Source organism: Homo sapiens, chromosome 11 (genome assembly GCF_000001405.40).
Source record: "Homo sapiens chromosome 11, GRCh38.p14 Primary Assembly".
NCBI classification, from domain to species: Eukaryota; Metazoa; Chordata; class Mammalia; order Primates; family Hominidae; genus Homo; species Homo sapiens.
In genome coordinates, this window is record NC_000011.10 from 93,955,257 (window position 1) to 93,968,347 (window position 13,091).

At 46.1% G+C, this 13,091-nt stretch overlaps 1 pseudogene; it reads right to left on the reverse strand.

Moving 5' to 3' along the window:
- Nucleotides 1-12,590, reverse strand: part of LOC101060084 (uncharacterized) — a 103,851-nt pseudogene extending 91,261 nt beyond the window's left edge.
- Nucleotides 12,591-13,091: the final 501 nt, after the last annotated feature.

Genomic DNA, 13,091 nt, shown 5'->3' on the forward strand with positions numbered 1-13,091 from the left:
AATAAATTTCTGGTGTTTTAAGCCACCAACTTTATGATAATTGGTTACAGCAGCAATAGAAAACAAATGCAAATCCTCTCTGTAGCTTTCAGTGACCCCTGCCAGGCAGAACTATTAGGTCCTTCCTTCAGGTTAACCTCAACTATTGCACTGAGCACATGACATTCTCCTTTGCTCAGGTGGGCTTTGAACTCGTGGACCAGCAGATTTTACCACAGTGCCTGGCACAGAATCAGAAGCCAATGATGAGGTGATAAAATTTGTGCTCACATTTCCACAGGTTTCTTCTAGCAGTGGGGTAGGAGAAAGAGCAGAACAATAGGGCCACAGGTGAGGAACAAGAACTAACTACAATGGATGAATTGGCTTCATGAAAAAAATCACTTCCCCCTGTGTGATGGTTGGTAAATGTGTTTGCAGATGTGAACATCTGGGAAACCCCCAGTTCTCATGATGGTGAGGAAGACATATCCTTGGGCATGTATTATTGACGTGTGATTGGTGCTAAAGATGGCTGTTTCCTACTCAGGTGTGTTATTCCACCTGATAGACATTGTGCCAAACAAACTTGGACCAACCCTTAGCTAGCTGGAGAGCCCTCCCAAGCACTCCACATGCTATTTTGCAGAACTGTGGATGTGGAGCGGGGCCTCTGCTGGCATGAACTTCATGCATGCCATCTTTCCCTGTGTCTTATCTTACGTGAGTGCATGGGTCAAATAGTGGAGAAATGGAGAGATCACAGGCTTCAGAGTCAGATGGGTGTCTGAGTCTCAGTTCTGTCTTGCACCAGCTGTGTGGCCATAATCTAACTACTTAATCTGCCTGGGCCTCATTTCCACACCCATAAGATGGAGATAATGATACCCACTTCACAAAATTGTTGTGAGAAGGAAATAAACGATTTGTGTGCAAGATTTAATACGGTCTAAACCTTTGTGAAAATGCCTGCTACAATTATTATTAAAGGGCAGTAACTGTGAATTCTGGTTTTATTCCGTCAATCCTTAAACCATGTTAAGCATAAAGCTGATGCTAAATAAATGGCTGTGCCTGTTTTTGTCTTCAGAGTGTCCCTTGTGGCTTTTGAGATCTTGTTCTAGCTTTCCTTATATTATAAAGGGCAGCTCAATCTCCTGCCCCTTCTTCCTCTATTCAGAGTTGAGCCACTGGGGAGATTAGTGCTATACCAGGCCCCTAGCACCTCACCTCCATTCATTCCTCAGTCCTCTGCAATCTTGTTTCCAGCCACTCCCCCAGGACTGCTCCAGCCCAGATCCACTGGACACCTTGCTGTGCACTGGATGCTTTTCAGGGCCCAGCTTATGTTCCCCCTGTTGCAATTGACATTGCAGTTTCTCACTCCTTGAAACTTTCTCCTTCCTCAGCTTTCCTAATTTTCCTCTTTTCTGCTTTGCCTTTGACTTTCTAGTTATTTTTCAGTCTTCCTCACAGGCTTCTCTTCCTCTGTATACCTCAGTTTCTGATGCTTCCTAAGGTTTTAACCTGAGTTCTTTTCACCTCTCATTCTATGCACCAGCTCCAGACACACCTTCTACTATGGAGGCTCCCATATCACCTCTCTGCAGTGCCTCTTAATCTCGTCTTGTTTCCTGGTCTTCAGTCCCAGCCCAACCATCCTCTGATCCCTTGGTGTAGATGTAAACTAGAGCAAAATAGGGTCCTCTGCCCTCCCTCCAAGCTCACCCCTGAGGTCCCTGCCTCGGAGAAAGCTACCATCATTTCCCCTAGCACCCAGGCCAGAATGCCAGAGCCAACCTGGACTGCTCCCCTTCCCCACACCCCATACGTCTTCAGGTCCTGCCAATCTGATCTTTTAACATTGCTCAAATATGCCCTCCCCTCTCCACTTCCATGGCCGCTGCCTTAGTTTGCTTTAGCTGGGTGCCTGTCAGGGTATAGAGTGTATACTAATGACTGAATGAACTAAGAAAGGAAGGAAGAGAAAAGAGAGAGAAGGAGGAAAAGAGAAAGAGAGACTGGCTTGGTTTGTTGGATTTTATGTTATTGAGCTTCATGGCCTGGTTTGGTCCTATTTGCATTATTCCCATGTCACTCTCTGGGACAGCTGGGGGAGGTTTTGCTGGAAAGCTGGAGTGAGAGCTGGACAAGCCAGTTGGTATTAAGGGATGCTATGGAGACAGAGTGTCTGGTCCATGAGTGAGCCAGGCTGTACTCTGCATCCCTCTGGACCACAGAATATTTTTCTATGGGTCACTCTTTTTTAGTAAACACTCTGGGATTCTGCTATTAGGAAACCTACGTGACCACAAGCTGTTTGCACTGTATTTGTTCATTTACATATTGAAAGAAGTTGGGTGGTGATGTTCTTGTAAATTCTCCAGATGATGAGAATGAGGCTTAGAAGGATTTGTGTAATTTGCTTGGCAGTGGAGCTGAGAAATGCAAATCTGTCCTTCAAAAATAGGGTGGATAAGAAGCAGGAGACAGGTGCTTGGCTGGATCCCCAGAGGTGGTAGAGCTGGTCATCTGGGCCAGGAAAGGGGACCGATGCATGTTTACTGGCCGCTGTGTGTGTGCCAGTCACTTTATGTATGTTATTTAATTCAGTGTCCTCCGCCTAGTTGTAAGATAGTTTGATTCTTTTTACTGAAGCACAGGGAAATTGCAGAGCAGGCCAGACACAGACTCATGATTTGAGCAGCGTCTGTTGGACTCCTAGGTCTGTGCTGCCTGTGAGGAAGGGCGCTGAGCTGAGACACAGACAGTTTTTCCCAAAGTTTTGCTGATTTAGATAGACTCTTGCACAGGAAGCCCCAGCCTCTGCCATGTAGGGGAGGGGCTGGTGGTCACTGGATGCAATTCGCAACATCACTGTGCCTACTAGGGTGAAGAAAAACCCAGAGGGGAGGTGGTCACCTTGTTTTTGAGAGAATTCCTTATGCCCTATCCATTTATTCACCCATTTGCTGAGCACTCAGTGCTTGGCACTGGGATTTCACACAAATAAATTGTCTTTTCGTAAGTGACCACTGGATACCTTGAAGAGGAGGAGCCAAATGAAAACAAAAGGTAGAAAGGAAGGAAAACACCCCATGCCTATCTCAGTGGGCAGCAAACTATGGGCTGTGGACCAGCTCTGGCAGGTTACCTGTTTTTATAGCTAAAGCTTTGTTGGAACATAGTCATGCTCATCTGCTTATATATTTTCTATGGCTGCTTTTGCCCGGCTATGGCAAAGTTGAGCAGTTAAAAAAAAGAGACCCCATAGTCCACCAAGATGGATGTATTTACTGTCTTATCTTTTACAGAAAAGATTTGCTAACACCTTACTTGTACCTAGGAAAGCCTTGATGATAGCTACATAACTTTTTAAAGATGGTCATCTTTGATGAACCTGACAAATATCCTATTATTGTGCTTTTGATTAAAGTGTATCTTTCATGCAATTAACAACAATTTATTTATTGAGCTCTAATCTAAGCCAGGCACTTTGCTAGGCAGGCACTTAGAGGGCAAAGGTGAATGATACTTGGGCTCTGTTCTTATGGATCTCACAGCCTAATGGGGGAGCACACAAATAAATAGATGCTTGCAATACAGTGTGCCAGGTGCCAATGTGGAGTGTGTTTATTTATAGCATGTTGTGGGATACAGAGGAAGAGCAGCCGGCCATGCTCTGGGGGCATAGGTAAGGTGGCCCCCAGATGAAATTATTGCTTTGTGACTGGACAAGTCCTTAGGGACACACTTCATCTGAGGGAGGAGAAATAGATAAATCTCATTGTTACCAAGAGTCTAGCTCCTATAAAGCCATGGAAAACCCAGACCAAGTCTGTGATCTTGGCAGGCTCCAGCACCTGCCCACTGGGAAAGTATAGCAGGAGGTTGGCAATGATGACTGCGGTAGCCAAGGCCAAGCTCAGTATGCCCACGCACCTGGAGCCATTGTCAGAGCACATGTGAAACTTCCCTGGAAGAGAAAGAGAAAACAGCTGATACCAGGAAGCTGCCCCACTCCAGCCATTGCAGAATCAGGAGAGAGTGCTCCAACCTCACACCTGCACGAGCAATGCATCAAGCCCAGCTGTGCCACTGGTAGGCAAGATGACCTGGGAAGCCACTTTCCTCTCTGAGCCTCAGTTTCTTCTGTCATGCAGAGAAAATACTGACCTCATGGATAGTGGTGCATAGACTAAAGAAGTCTAATAAATATGGAAGCACCTGGCTTATAGTAGCTATCTCTTTTAAAGATTATGGGGAATCTTTTAAAGAGAGTCTACTGAACATCTACTACAGGGGGAACTGAGGTAATGTTTAGGAAATCACTGTTATTCTGGTTCTTTTTTTTTTTTCTGAGCTGGAGTTTTGCTCTGTGAAGTGCAGTGGCATGATTTCGGCTCACTGCAAACTCTGCCTCCCAGGTTCAAGTGATTCTCATGCCTCAGCCTCCCGAGTAGCTGGGACTACAGGCGACGCCATCACAACTGGCTAATTTTTGTATTTTCAGTAGAGATGGGGTTTCACCATGTTGGCCAGGCTGGTTTCAAACTCCTGACCTCAAATGATCTGCCGGCCTTGGCTTCCAAAAGCGCTGGGATTACAAGAATGAGCCACTGCACCTGGCCTATTCTGGTTCTTTCCCAGAGCAATTCCCATAGTGATTATGAACTTGGCCCTGGACCACCCAAACCTGGGTCCAAACCCTGCCTCCATGTGTGAGCTTGGGCAAGTTATTTAACTTCTTTCACTTTAATTTCCTCATCTGCAAAATGGAGTTTACCATGGCACCCACCTGTGGGATTGTTTAGAGGGGGAAAATAAGAGAATGCATTAAAAAGTCTCTCGATGCTTGACAGCTGGAGAAATAAAAAGCCAAGGGAATCTGAATCATCTTGTCCTCTCATTTTATTCATGTGGAAAATTTCCTTTCTCACTCTCTTCATCGATTGAGTGTACTGAGCCTGGAGATTTCAGAGAAGCCAGAACGGAGGCACTTGGAGAGAAGGGAAGATTTCCTATCTTGCTTTCTTCTCTGTGCTTGCTCTTTCTGAACTTAAGTCAGATTGGAGTAAAGTCAGTATTGCATTTTCTGAGTGGAGGCTGCCATGGGAGCATGAGGTGCTGGTGCTCCCTGCAAGGCTGCCCATTCACCACTCAGGTCCCTAGACATGGAGGCCTGGTGCAATGAATGGCCCTTCCCACAGGGGAAACCTGCAGTCATTTGAAGAGCCAGGAACCTCTCTCTCTTTGGGAATAAAATGGAAAAATGTCCAGCATCAGCTTTTTATGCTCACAGAAGATTTAAAGTTATTCATGAACAATGGTTTAAGCAGGTTGATAATGCCTGGGGTCTTATTTCTATCTAATATCCAAATTCAGGGCTGTAGAAAGCTGATGCCTGAGTGGGGTGCTGCCTGCCTCTGGCTTCTGTGGATGAAGGAGGTTGAAACTAGTGACATCATTCCCCATTATGATCACCAACAGTAGTGATAATGAAAATTTAACACTTAATGGGGGCCAGGTGCAGTGACTCATGCTTGTAATCCCAACACTTTGGGAGGCTGAGGCAGGTGGATCACTTGAGGTCAGGAGTTCAAGACCAACCTGGCCAACATGGTGAAACCCCATCTCTACTAAAAATACAAAAAATTAGCTGGGTGTGGCAGTGTGCACCTGTAATTCAAGCTACTTGGGAGGCTGAGGCAGGAGAATCACTTGAATCTGGAAGGCAGAGGTTGCAGTGAGACGAGATTACACCACTGCACTCTAGCCTGGGGGACAGAGTGTGACTCCTTCTCAAACAAAACAAAACAAAAACAAAACAACAACACTTAATGGGGAATAACACTTTATGATGTGCAAAAACACATAAAATTATTGCTACTTGCTCCAGGCACATTATAGACATTATTTCATTTAATCCTCAGAGCAACTCAATGAGGTGATAGCTCCATAGCTTTATGAGCAAACAAGTTTATAGAAATTAAATAAGATCCCAGGGTCTCCCAGCTGATTAATGACAGAACTGACACTCAAATGTAGGTCTGCTCATTTCCACCTCCAATTATGCCCAGTTAGGGCTTGTGATTAGAAACTGGAAGCACTGAGAATCCAGGGCTGTGGAACCTTTCAGTCTGTGAAAGGGGCTTTTCCCCCCATTCTCAGGGTTGTGCCTGGAGGGCACTTGCAAAGCCAGCAGCCTCCTGTTGCTTCCTAGATGTTCTGACTACTGCTGCAATGAATACAGCGTGCTCACTTCACTACAGGAAAACTGTAGATCTTTTCAAGAGGAAAGAGGGGATGGGTAGAGACTGGGGCCACATTTGGAAAGGAGGACCATGCAGCCCTGAAGGTTGGCACTTAATAAAACTATGGGAAGGCAATTACTCTCATGGATGATGGCCAAGAATGTTAAGAGCTGTGAAGGAATCTGGGAAATCTAATTCCTTCATTTTCTAGGAAACATAGCCCCAAAGAGTTGAAATTATTTGTTCAAGGTTCTCTGGCTAGATAGTTAGAAATAACAGCAAAAATAGTAACAGTCGTGCTCGCAGGTATTATCTCATTTGGTTCCTCAATAGTCTAGTGACAGAGACATCGTTATTACACCTATTTTATGCATCTGCTGAGGAACATTCTGAGGCCCAGAGAGGCTAGGGAACTTGCCTGAGGTCACATAACTTTCAATGGGGCAGTTTTCTTTGGAGTCTGTCCAGATCCCACATCTTTTGGCCTCAACATGCTCCACAGGCAGGATAATCACAAGCCCCTCAGTTCTTTAATTATAGACTCCCTTTCATATAGTCTGCTCAGTGCTCCCCATATAATCATCTTCATATCCGTTAGATTATTATACTCTCAGTTTGAGTTTGGACAGCATGGTCACTACACTAAGGTTTTAGACCAGCTGGGAAAGTACCAGTATCCAGTACCCAGGGCCTGCAGGCACAGGCACACTGGGCAGCCTCTCCTGGGCAAAGTGTCCCCGGCAGATGGCCCAGAGGCAGTGGAGGGGGCCCTGCAGGCTGGGGTGTAGTCCCAGAGAATGCATCAGCTATCTTGGGGGTTCTGGGCAGGCTCTGGTTCCTTCTACCTTTCAGAAGGCAAGAGGTGACCACTTGAAAGACTAACAACAGTAAGTTCAACAGCAGTAAGTCCCAGGCACCCACCTTACAGGACAGTTTAAGCAACTAACCACAGCTATTTAGTCTTCCCCAAAGCCCCCTTGCGGAGGAGGCCCCTTGTCTCTTTAGAGGCTGAAACCCGAGGTCTTTTCAGGTTCCTCTGTGGCCCCTCAGTGCAAAGATTTGCCTGGGTTCTGAAGCACGGGGCTCCCTCTTCCTGTCTGGCTCTGACCTCCCTCCTGTTCTTCCCAGTGTGGAAAAAGTGGCTCAGATTCCTTCAGCAAGAGCCAACACTGCCTCCTCTGCTAGGTGTCCCAGGGCAGGGGGTCCAGCCAACTCAGCTGCAGAGGTGCTGTGTTTACTCTGGGTCACTGGGTCTCTGGGTCACTCCTGATAACCTCAGAGGAGTTCTCCCAGTGGATGAGTTTCCACTGTGTCTGCTCCAGATGTTGGCGGCTGGGTGGGTCCCCAGCCCTGTGCAAATGTCTGTGTAAACCACCCACACGATTGGCTTGAGAGGGCTGGAGCATCACCTTGTCATCTTTCATCTTGTCATCTTGCAGTTCCCCTGCTCAGGGTCTGGAACGGTTGATGACTACACTTCACAACGCTGTGGGCAGTGGGGCGTCCTGGCTGGGCTTTGGTTTTCTTGTTGCATTTGGTCTCTCAACCAGCCAAGGAAGAAAAGTAGATTGTCCACGGAACCCTCTCTCCCATATCACCTGTCCCCCTGCCCCCTGAAGCTGTGATACTAGTGTTGAGTGATGGATAGAGAGCAGCCACAGTGAGCACTTTGCCAGGAGTCTGGCCACCCAATCACCCAGGGGGGTGATCCTCCGTGACTCTGCTTCCTCCTCTATCTTGGTGGCTGTGGGACAATGCCTCCTTTGTCTTTGGTCTTGCAGCAATCCTTTCCTACCCCAGAGAACATATTTTCCTTTAATCTACCAAGTTGAATGTTTTCTGTGCACTGACAATGAGTATATTGCTAAAACCTTTGAGAAAATGGAACCATGTGATTCTATAATCAGATATGTAGCTCCAGAGGCCTGGCTGTATCATACATATATAGATTTTTTTTGAGATGGAGTTTCGCTCTTCTTGTCCAGGCTGAGGTACGATGACGCGATCTCAGCTCGTTGCAACCTTCGCCTCCCGGATTCAAGCAATTCTCCTGCCTCAGCCTCCTGAGTAGCTGGGATTACAGGCGTGCATCACCATGCCTGGCTAATTTTTGTGGTTTTGGTAGAGATGGGATTTCTTCATGTTGGTCAGGCTGGTCTTGAACTCCTGACCTCAGGTAACCCGCCCACCTCAGCCTCCCAAAGTACTGGGATTACAGGCGTGAGCCACCGCACCTGGCCTTGTATCATAATTTTAAACTTCCTTTTTTACTGAAGTTGCTTTCCTCTGCAAGAGGTTAATGGTGTAAATCACTTCTTTTTCCATTTTGATGCCTATTGGTCAACGCAGCTCACCCAGGGTGAGCATATATTTTCTTCTTCATTCCTTTTCCTTCAGATTCCTTTATTTTTTAATTATTTTTTGAGATGGAGTCTTGCTCTGTGGCCCAGACTGGAGTGCAGTGGCACGATCTCGGTTCACTGCAAGCTCCGTGTCCCGGGTTCACGCCATTCTCCTGCCTCAGCCTCCTGAGTAGCTGGGACTACAGGTGCCCGCCACCACGCCCAGCTAATTTTTTTGTATTTTTAGTAGAGATGGGGTTTCACTGTGTTAGCCAGGATGGTCTTAATCTCCTGACCTTGTGATCTGCCCGCCTCGGCCTCCCAAAGTTCTGGGATTACAGGCATGAACCACCGCGCCTGGCCCAAGATTCTTTTATTTGTGACCATCCTTCCCCAACCTCCTCCCAGGGCCCTGCCTCTCAGTCAATGGTTCCATTCATTTTGTTCATTGATGAAGCCTTGGACCAGTGGCAGCAACCAAGTGGACAGAGTGGGCAGTGATGCTGATGATGAGAACTCTTAAGTCTTTTGGTCTCTGTAGTTGAGATCACTAATATTGGGCACCTCTGCATGGTGTATCTGGGCATGATTTTGCCAACAGAATCTCAGACTCTCTTCTCAATCTTGCCAAAGACCCTTTCTCTCACAGTGTCATTTGTTGAGCTGTGATTATTTGCCGAAGAAATAATTGGCACACCTGCCAATGTAGAGGCCCTGTGCTAGGTGCTTTATCTGTGTGATTGAGGGTAAATTCTTGAACTTCTTCTGGTTGCAGTTTCTTTGTCTATAAAGTAGAAATAACACTTTATCTAATAGTGAACACATATTTTAGAGGACACTGGTTATTTGCTCCGTCAAGCCCTCAACGTGTCTAAGTGGGTCCTCGGTTGGGAGGCATGCACCCCTGAGCTGGTCTGTGCTCCCCACCTGTGCTAAGGTTCTGGCCCTGCAGCCTCTCTTTCCCTGCGAGTGATTTTGAGTGCAGCTACAGAACCAGCTGTAATTTCGAGGCCTTTTCCCCCATCGTGGAACAGTAGACTGTGAACCCAGCAGATAATTAGACCCACTGCCTGCACATCTTTGGTTGCTGGCCCTTTGAATGAGTTTATTTAAACACAAGTCCCCCAGCTGAGACTCTGTGATTTGTTCTGTGGTGCCTGATGTACCAAATATCTCTTTATACTGTTTGATGGTTCTCCTCAAGAGTGCACAGTTCCTCAGGATCAAAAATAGTGCAAACCTTCTTCAAATAGTAGCATTAACATCATTCTCCAATGATTGTGCTTCTAGGAGCAGAAAAGGCATATTAGGCCATTTTTGCATTGCTTTAAATAAATACCTGAGGTTGATATTTATAAAGAAAAGAGGTTTTATTTTGGCTCAACGGTCTGCAGGTTTTACAGGAAGTGTGGTGCCATCATCTGCTTCTGGTGAAGGTCTCGGGAAGCATGCAATCATGGCGGAAGGTGACGGGGAGCCAGCATGTCACATGGAGGGAGTGGGAGCAAGAGACTCGGAGAAAGGGGAGGTCCCAGACTTTTAAACAACCAAAGTTCTTGTGAACTAACTGAGCAAGAACTCACTTATCACCAAGGGGATCGTGCTAAACCATTCATGAGGGATCAACCCCCATGATCAAATCACCTCCCACCAGGCCCCACCTCTAACACTGAGGATTTCATTTATTTTTTTAAAAACTTTTATTTCAGGTTCAAAGGTATATGCATGCAGATTTGTTATATAGGTAAACTTGCGTCATGCGGGTTTGTTGTACAGATGATTTCATCACTAGATACTAAGCCTACTACCCAATAGTTATTTTTTCTGTTCCTCTCTCCTCTCATCCTCCACCCTCGAGTGGGTCCCAGTGTCTGTTGTTCCCCTCTTTGAGTCCATGTGTTCTCGTCATTTAGTTCCCACTTATAAGTGAGAACATGTGGCATTTCATTTTCTTTTCCTGCATTAGTTTGCTAAGGATAATGGGGGATTACATTTCAACATGAGATTTGAAAGGGACAAACACCCAAACCATATCACAAGGAGAGACAGAGAAGTCTCACTGGTGTTTGTAAAACCATGGACAGAAGTAACAAGATAAAATTTCAAGCAGGCCATTAAAGTAGGCATTTTAGCCAGGTGTGGTGGTTCACACAATTCCAGCACTTGGGGAGGCTGAGGCGGAGGCTTGCTTGAGCCCAGGAGGTTGAAGTTGCAGTGATTGCACCACTGCACTCCAGCCTGGTGACACAGCAAGACCCTGTCTCAAAAAAAGGATGCATTTTATACACGGATCCATATACCTATAATAACGTACATGCTTGAATCAAGTTTTTTGATTTATAGAGATTTTAGTTACATTTAATACAGCAATCTGGTAAGTTATTCTTTTATAGAGGGGAAACCTGAGCTTCAGATGGAATAAATAATTTGCACTAGATCTTATAATTAATAGATGAAAGATGTGGCACTTTAACCCAGTTGTGGATATGTTTGTTTCACTCACATGCAAGTGTTGCACACATAATTACACATTCATGTGTACTCATGATTATACACGTTGGCATATGAAACACAAAGAACACCCATAAACATCCGACTTGTTAAAACATCACTGGGGGTGATGGGCTTATCAGGTCTGCTTCTCTCTGACTTCAATGGTCCAGGTCCTCCCTCTCCAGACATTGATCCAATACAAGGAGGCATTTTATAGACATAACAGAGAGATTTAGGTGGTATAATTATTTGCATAAACACAAAATATGTGCATAACCAGACCTGAGTTCCATATAGACTTCTACATTTCCAGTTCCATCTCACTCAAGAAGTAGCACAGGCCAGGTGTGGTGGCTCACACCTGTAATCCCCTTTTAGGAAGCCAAGGCGGGTGGATTGCTTGAGCCCGGGGACAATGTGGTGAAACCCTATCTCTTCAAAAAATACAAAAATTAGCCTGGCGTGGTGGTGTGTGCCTGTAGTCCCAGCAACTCAGGAGACTGAGATGGGAGGATCACTTGAGCCGGGGAGGCAGAGGTTGCAGTGAGCTGACATTATGCCACTGCATTCCAGCCTGGGTGATAGAGCCAGACCCTGTCTCAAAACAAAACAAAACAACAATTAAAAAAACATAAATTCATAGCTAGGGACATTTCCCTGGGGTCCAGTCTGAGTTCCCCTTCTCCCAGGCCCCCTTGATCCTTTTCTACACTTTCCACACAGCTCATGTTTTTTTGCTGCTGAACAGCAAGAAGTCTTTGGACAGGCCGGGCACAGTGGCTCATGTCTGTAATCCCAGCACTTGGGAGGCCAAGGAGGGTGGATCACCTGAAGTCAGGAGTTCGAGACCAGCCTGGCCAACATGATGAAGCCCTGTCTCTACTAAAAATACAAAATTTAGCTGGGCATGGTGGCGGGCGCCTGTAATCCCAGCTACTTGGGAGGCTGAGGCAGGAGAATTGCTTGAACCCAGGAGGCGGAGGTTGCAGTGAGCTGAGATTGTACCATTTGCACTCCAGCCTGGGCAACAAGAGTGAAACTCTGTCTCAAAAAAAAAAAAAAAAAAAAAGTCTTTGGACATGAGTGGCCTTGCTCTGCCACTGCTACTTACTAGCTGTATGTCTTTGGGTGAGTTACGTAACTTCTCGGTCCCCAGTGTCCTTATCTCTAAAGTAGGGATCATCATAATAGCAGGATTATTTCATAGCCCATAAGATTGTGGTGAGGATTAAAGGTTCCTGGTACATGCAAGTCATGTTTATCAACAGAAAGATGCTGGTCACAAACTAGCGTGAAAGGGCCTCAGGTGGGTTAAATGCTCAATAAATGCTACCCGCTCATATCACGCTAAAAAGAGCTGACTCCTGAGTCCTTAATGTTGCTCTCGGAGCAAATGGTTATGATTGCCTCTGCCCAGGGCATTGCCACGTGGCTGGCTTTCCTTCAGTGTGCCCTGAGCCATGCCAGAGCCTGAATACGGGCCCCACAAACGTAGCTCTTTAGTCTGAGTGATTGGTGTCATGGTCGCATTCACTGCTGCTCTATGGTGGGAGAAGAACCTCCTGGCTAAGGCCCAAGCTGAAAATGGTCCTGCACTGTAAGGAGCCACGAATATCAGGACAACTCCTGATCCTGAGAGGCACGTTAAACACCTGCTTTCAACTTGGGGAATTCCTATTGATCTTGTATAGAGTCAGTTTGGAGTAGAAGAATTTAGGTTAAAAGCGTGGACTCGAACTGGATTGGCTGATTTCTCATCTCAGCTCCGCTGCTGAATTGCTAAGTGATCAGGGCCAGTTATGCAGCCTCAATGGGCCTCAGTTTTCTCATCTGTAAAATGGGGATGAGGAGGATAATATCTCCTTCACAGGGTTGTTGGGAGGATTAAATGAGTTTGTGTATGTAGCGTACTTAAAACCATGCCTGGCACAGAGTAAACACTATACAATATTATTGTTAAGCACACAAAGCAACCTCTCAGAGGTATTTTGGTTTATGACTCAGTATTCAGTGAGCACCCCGT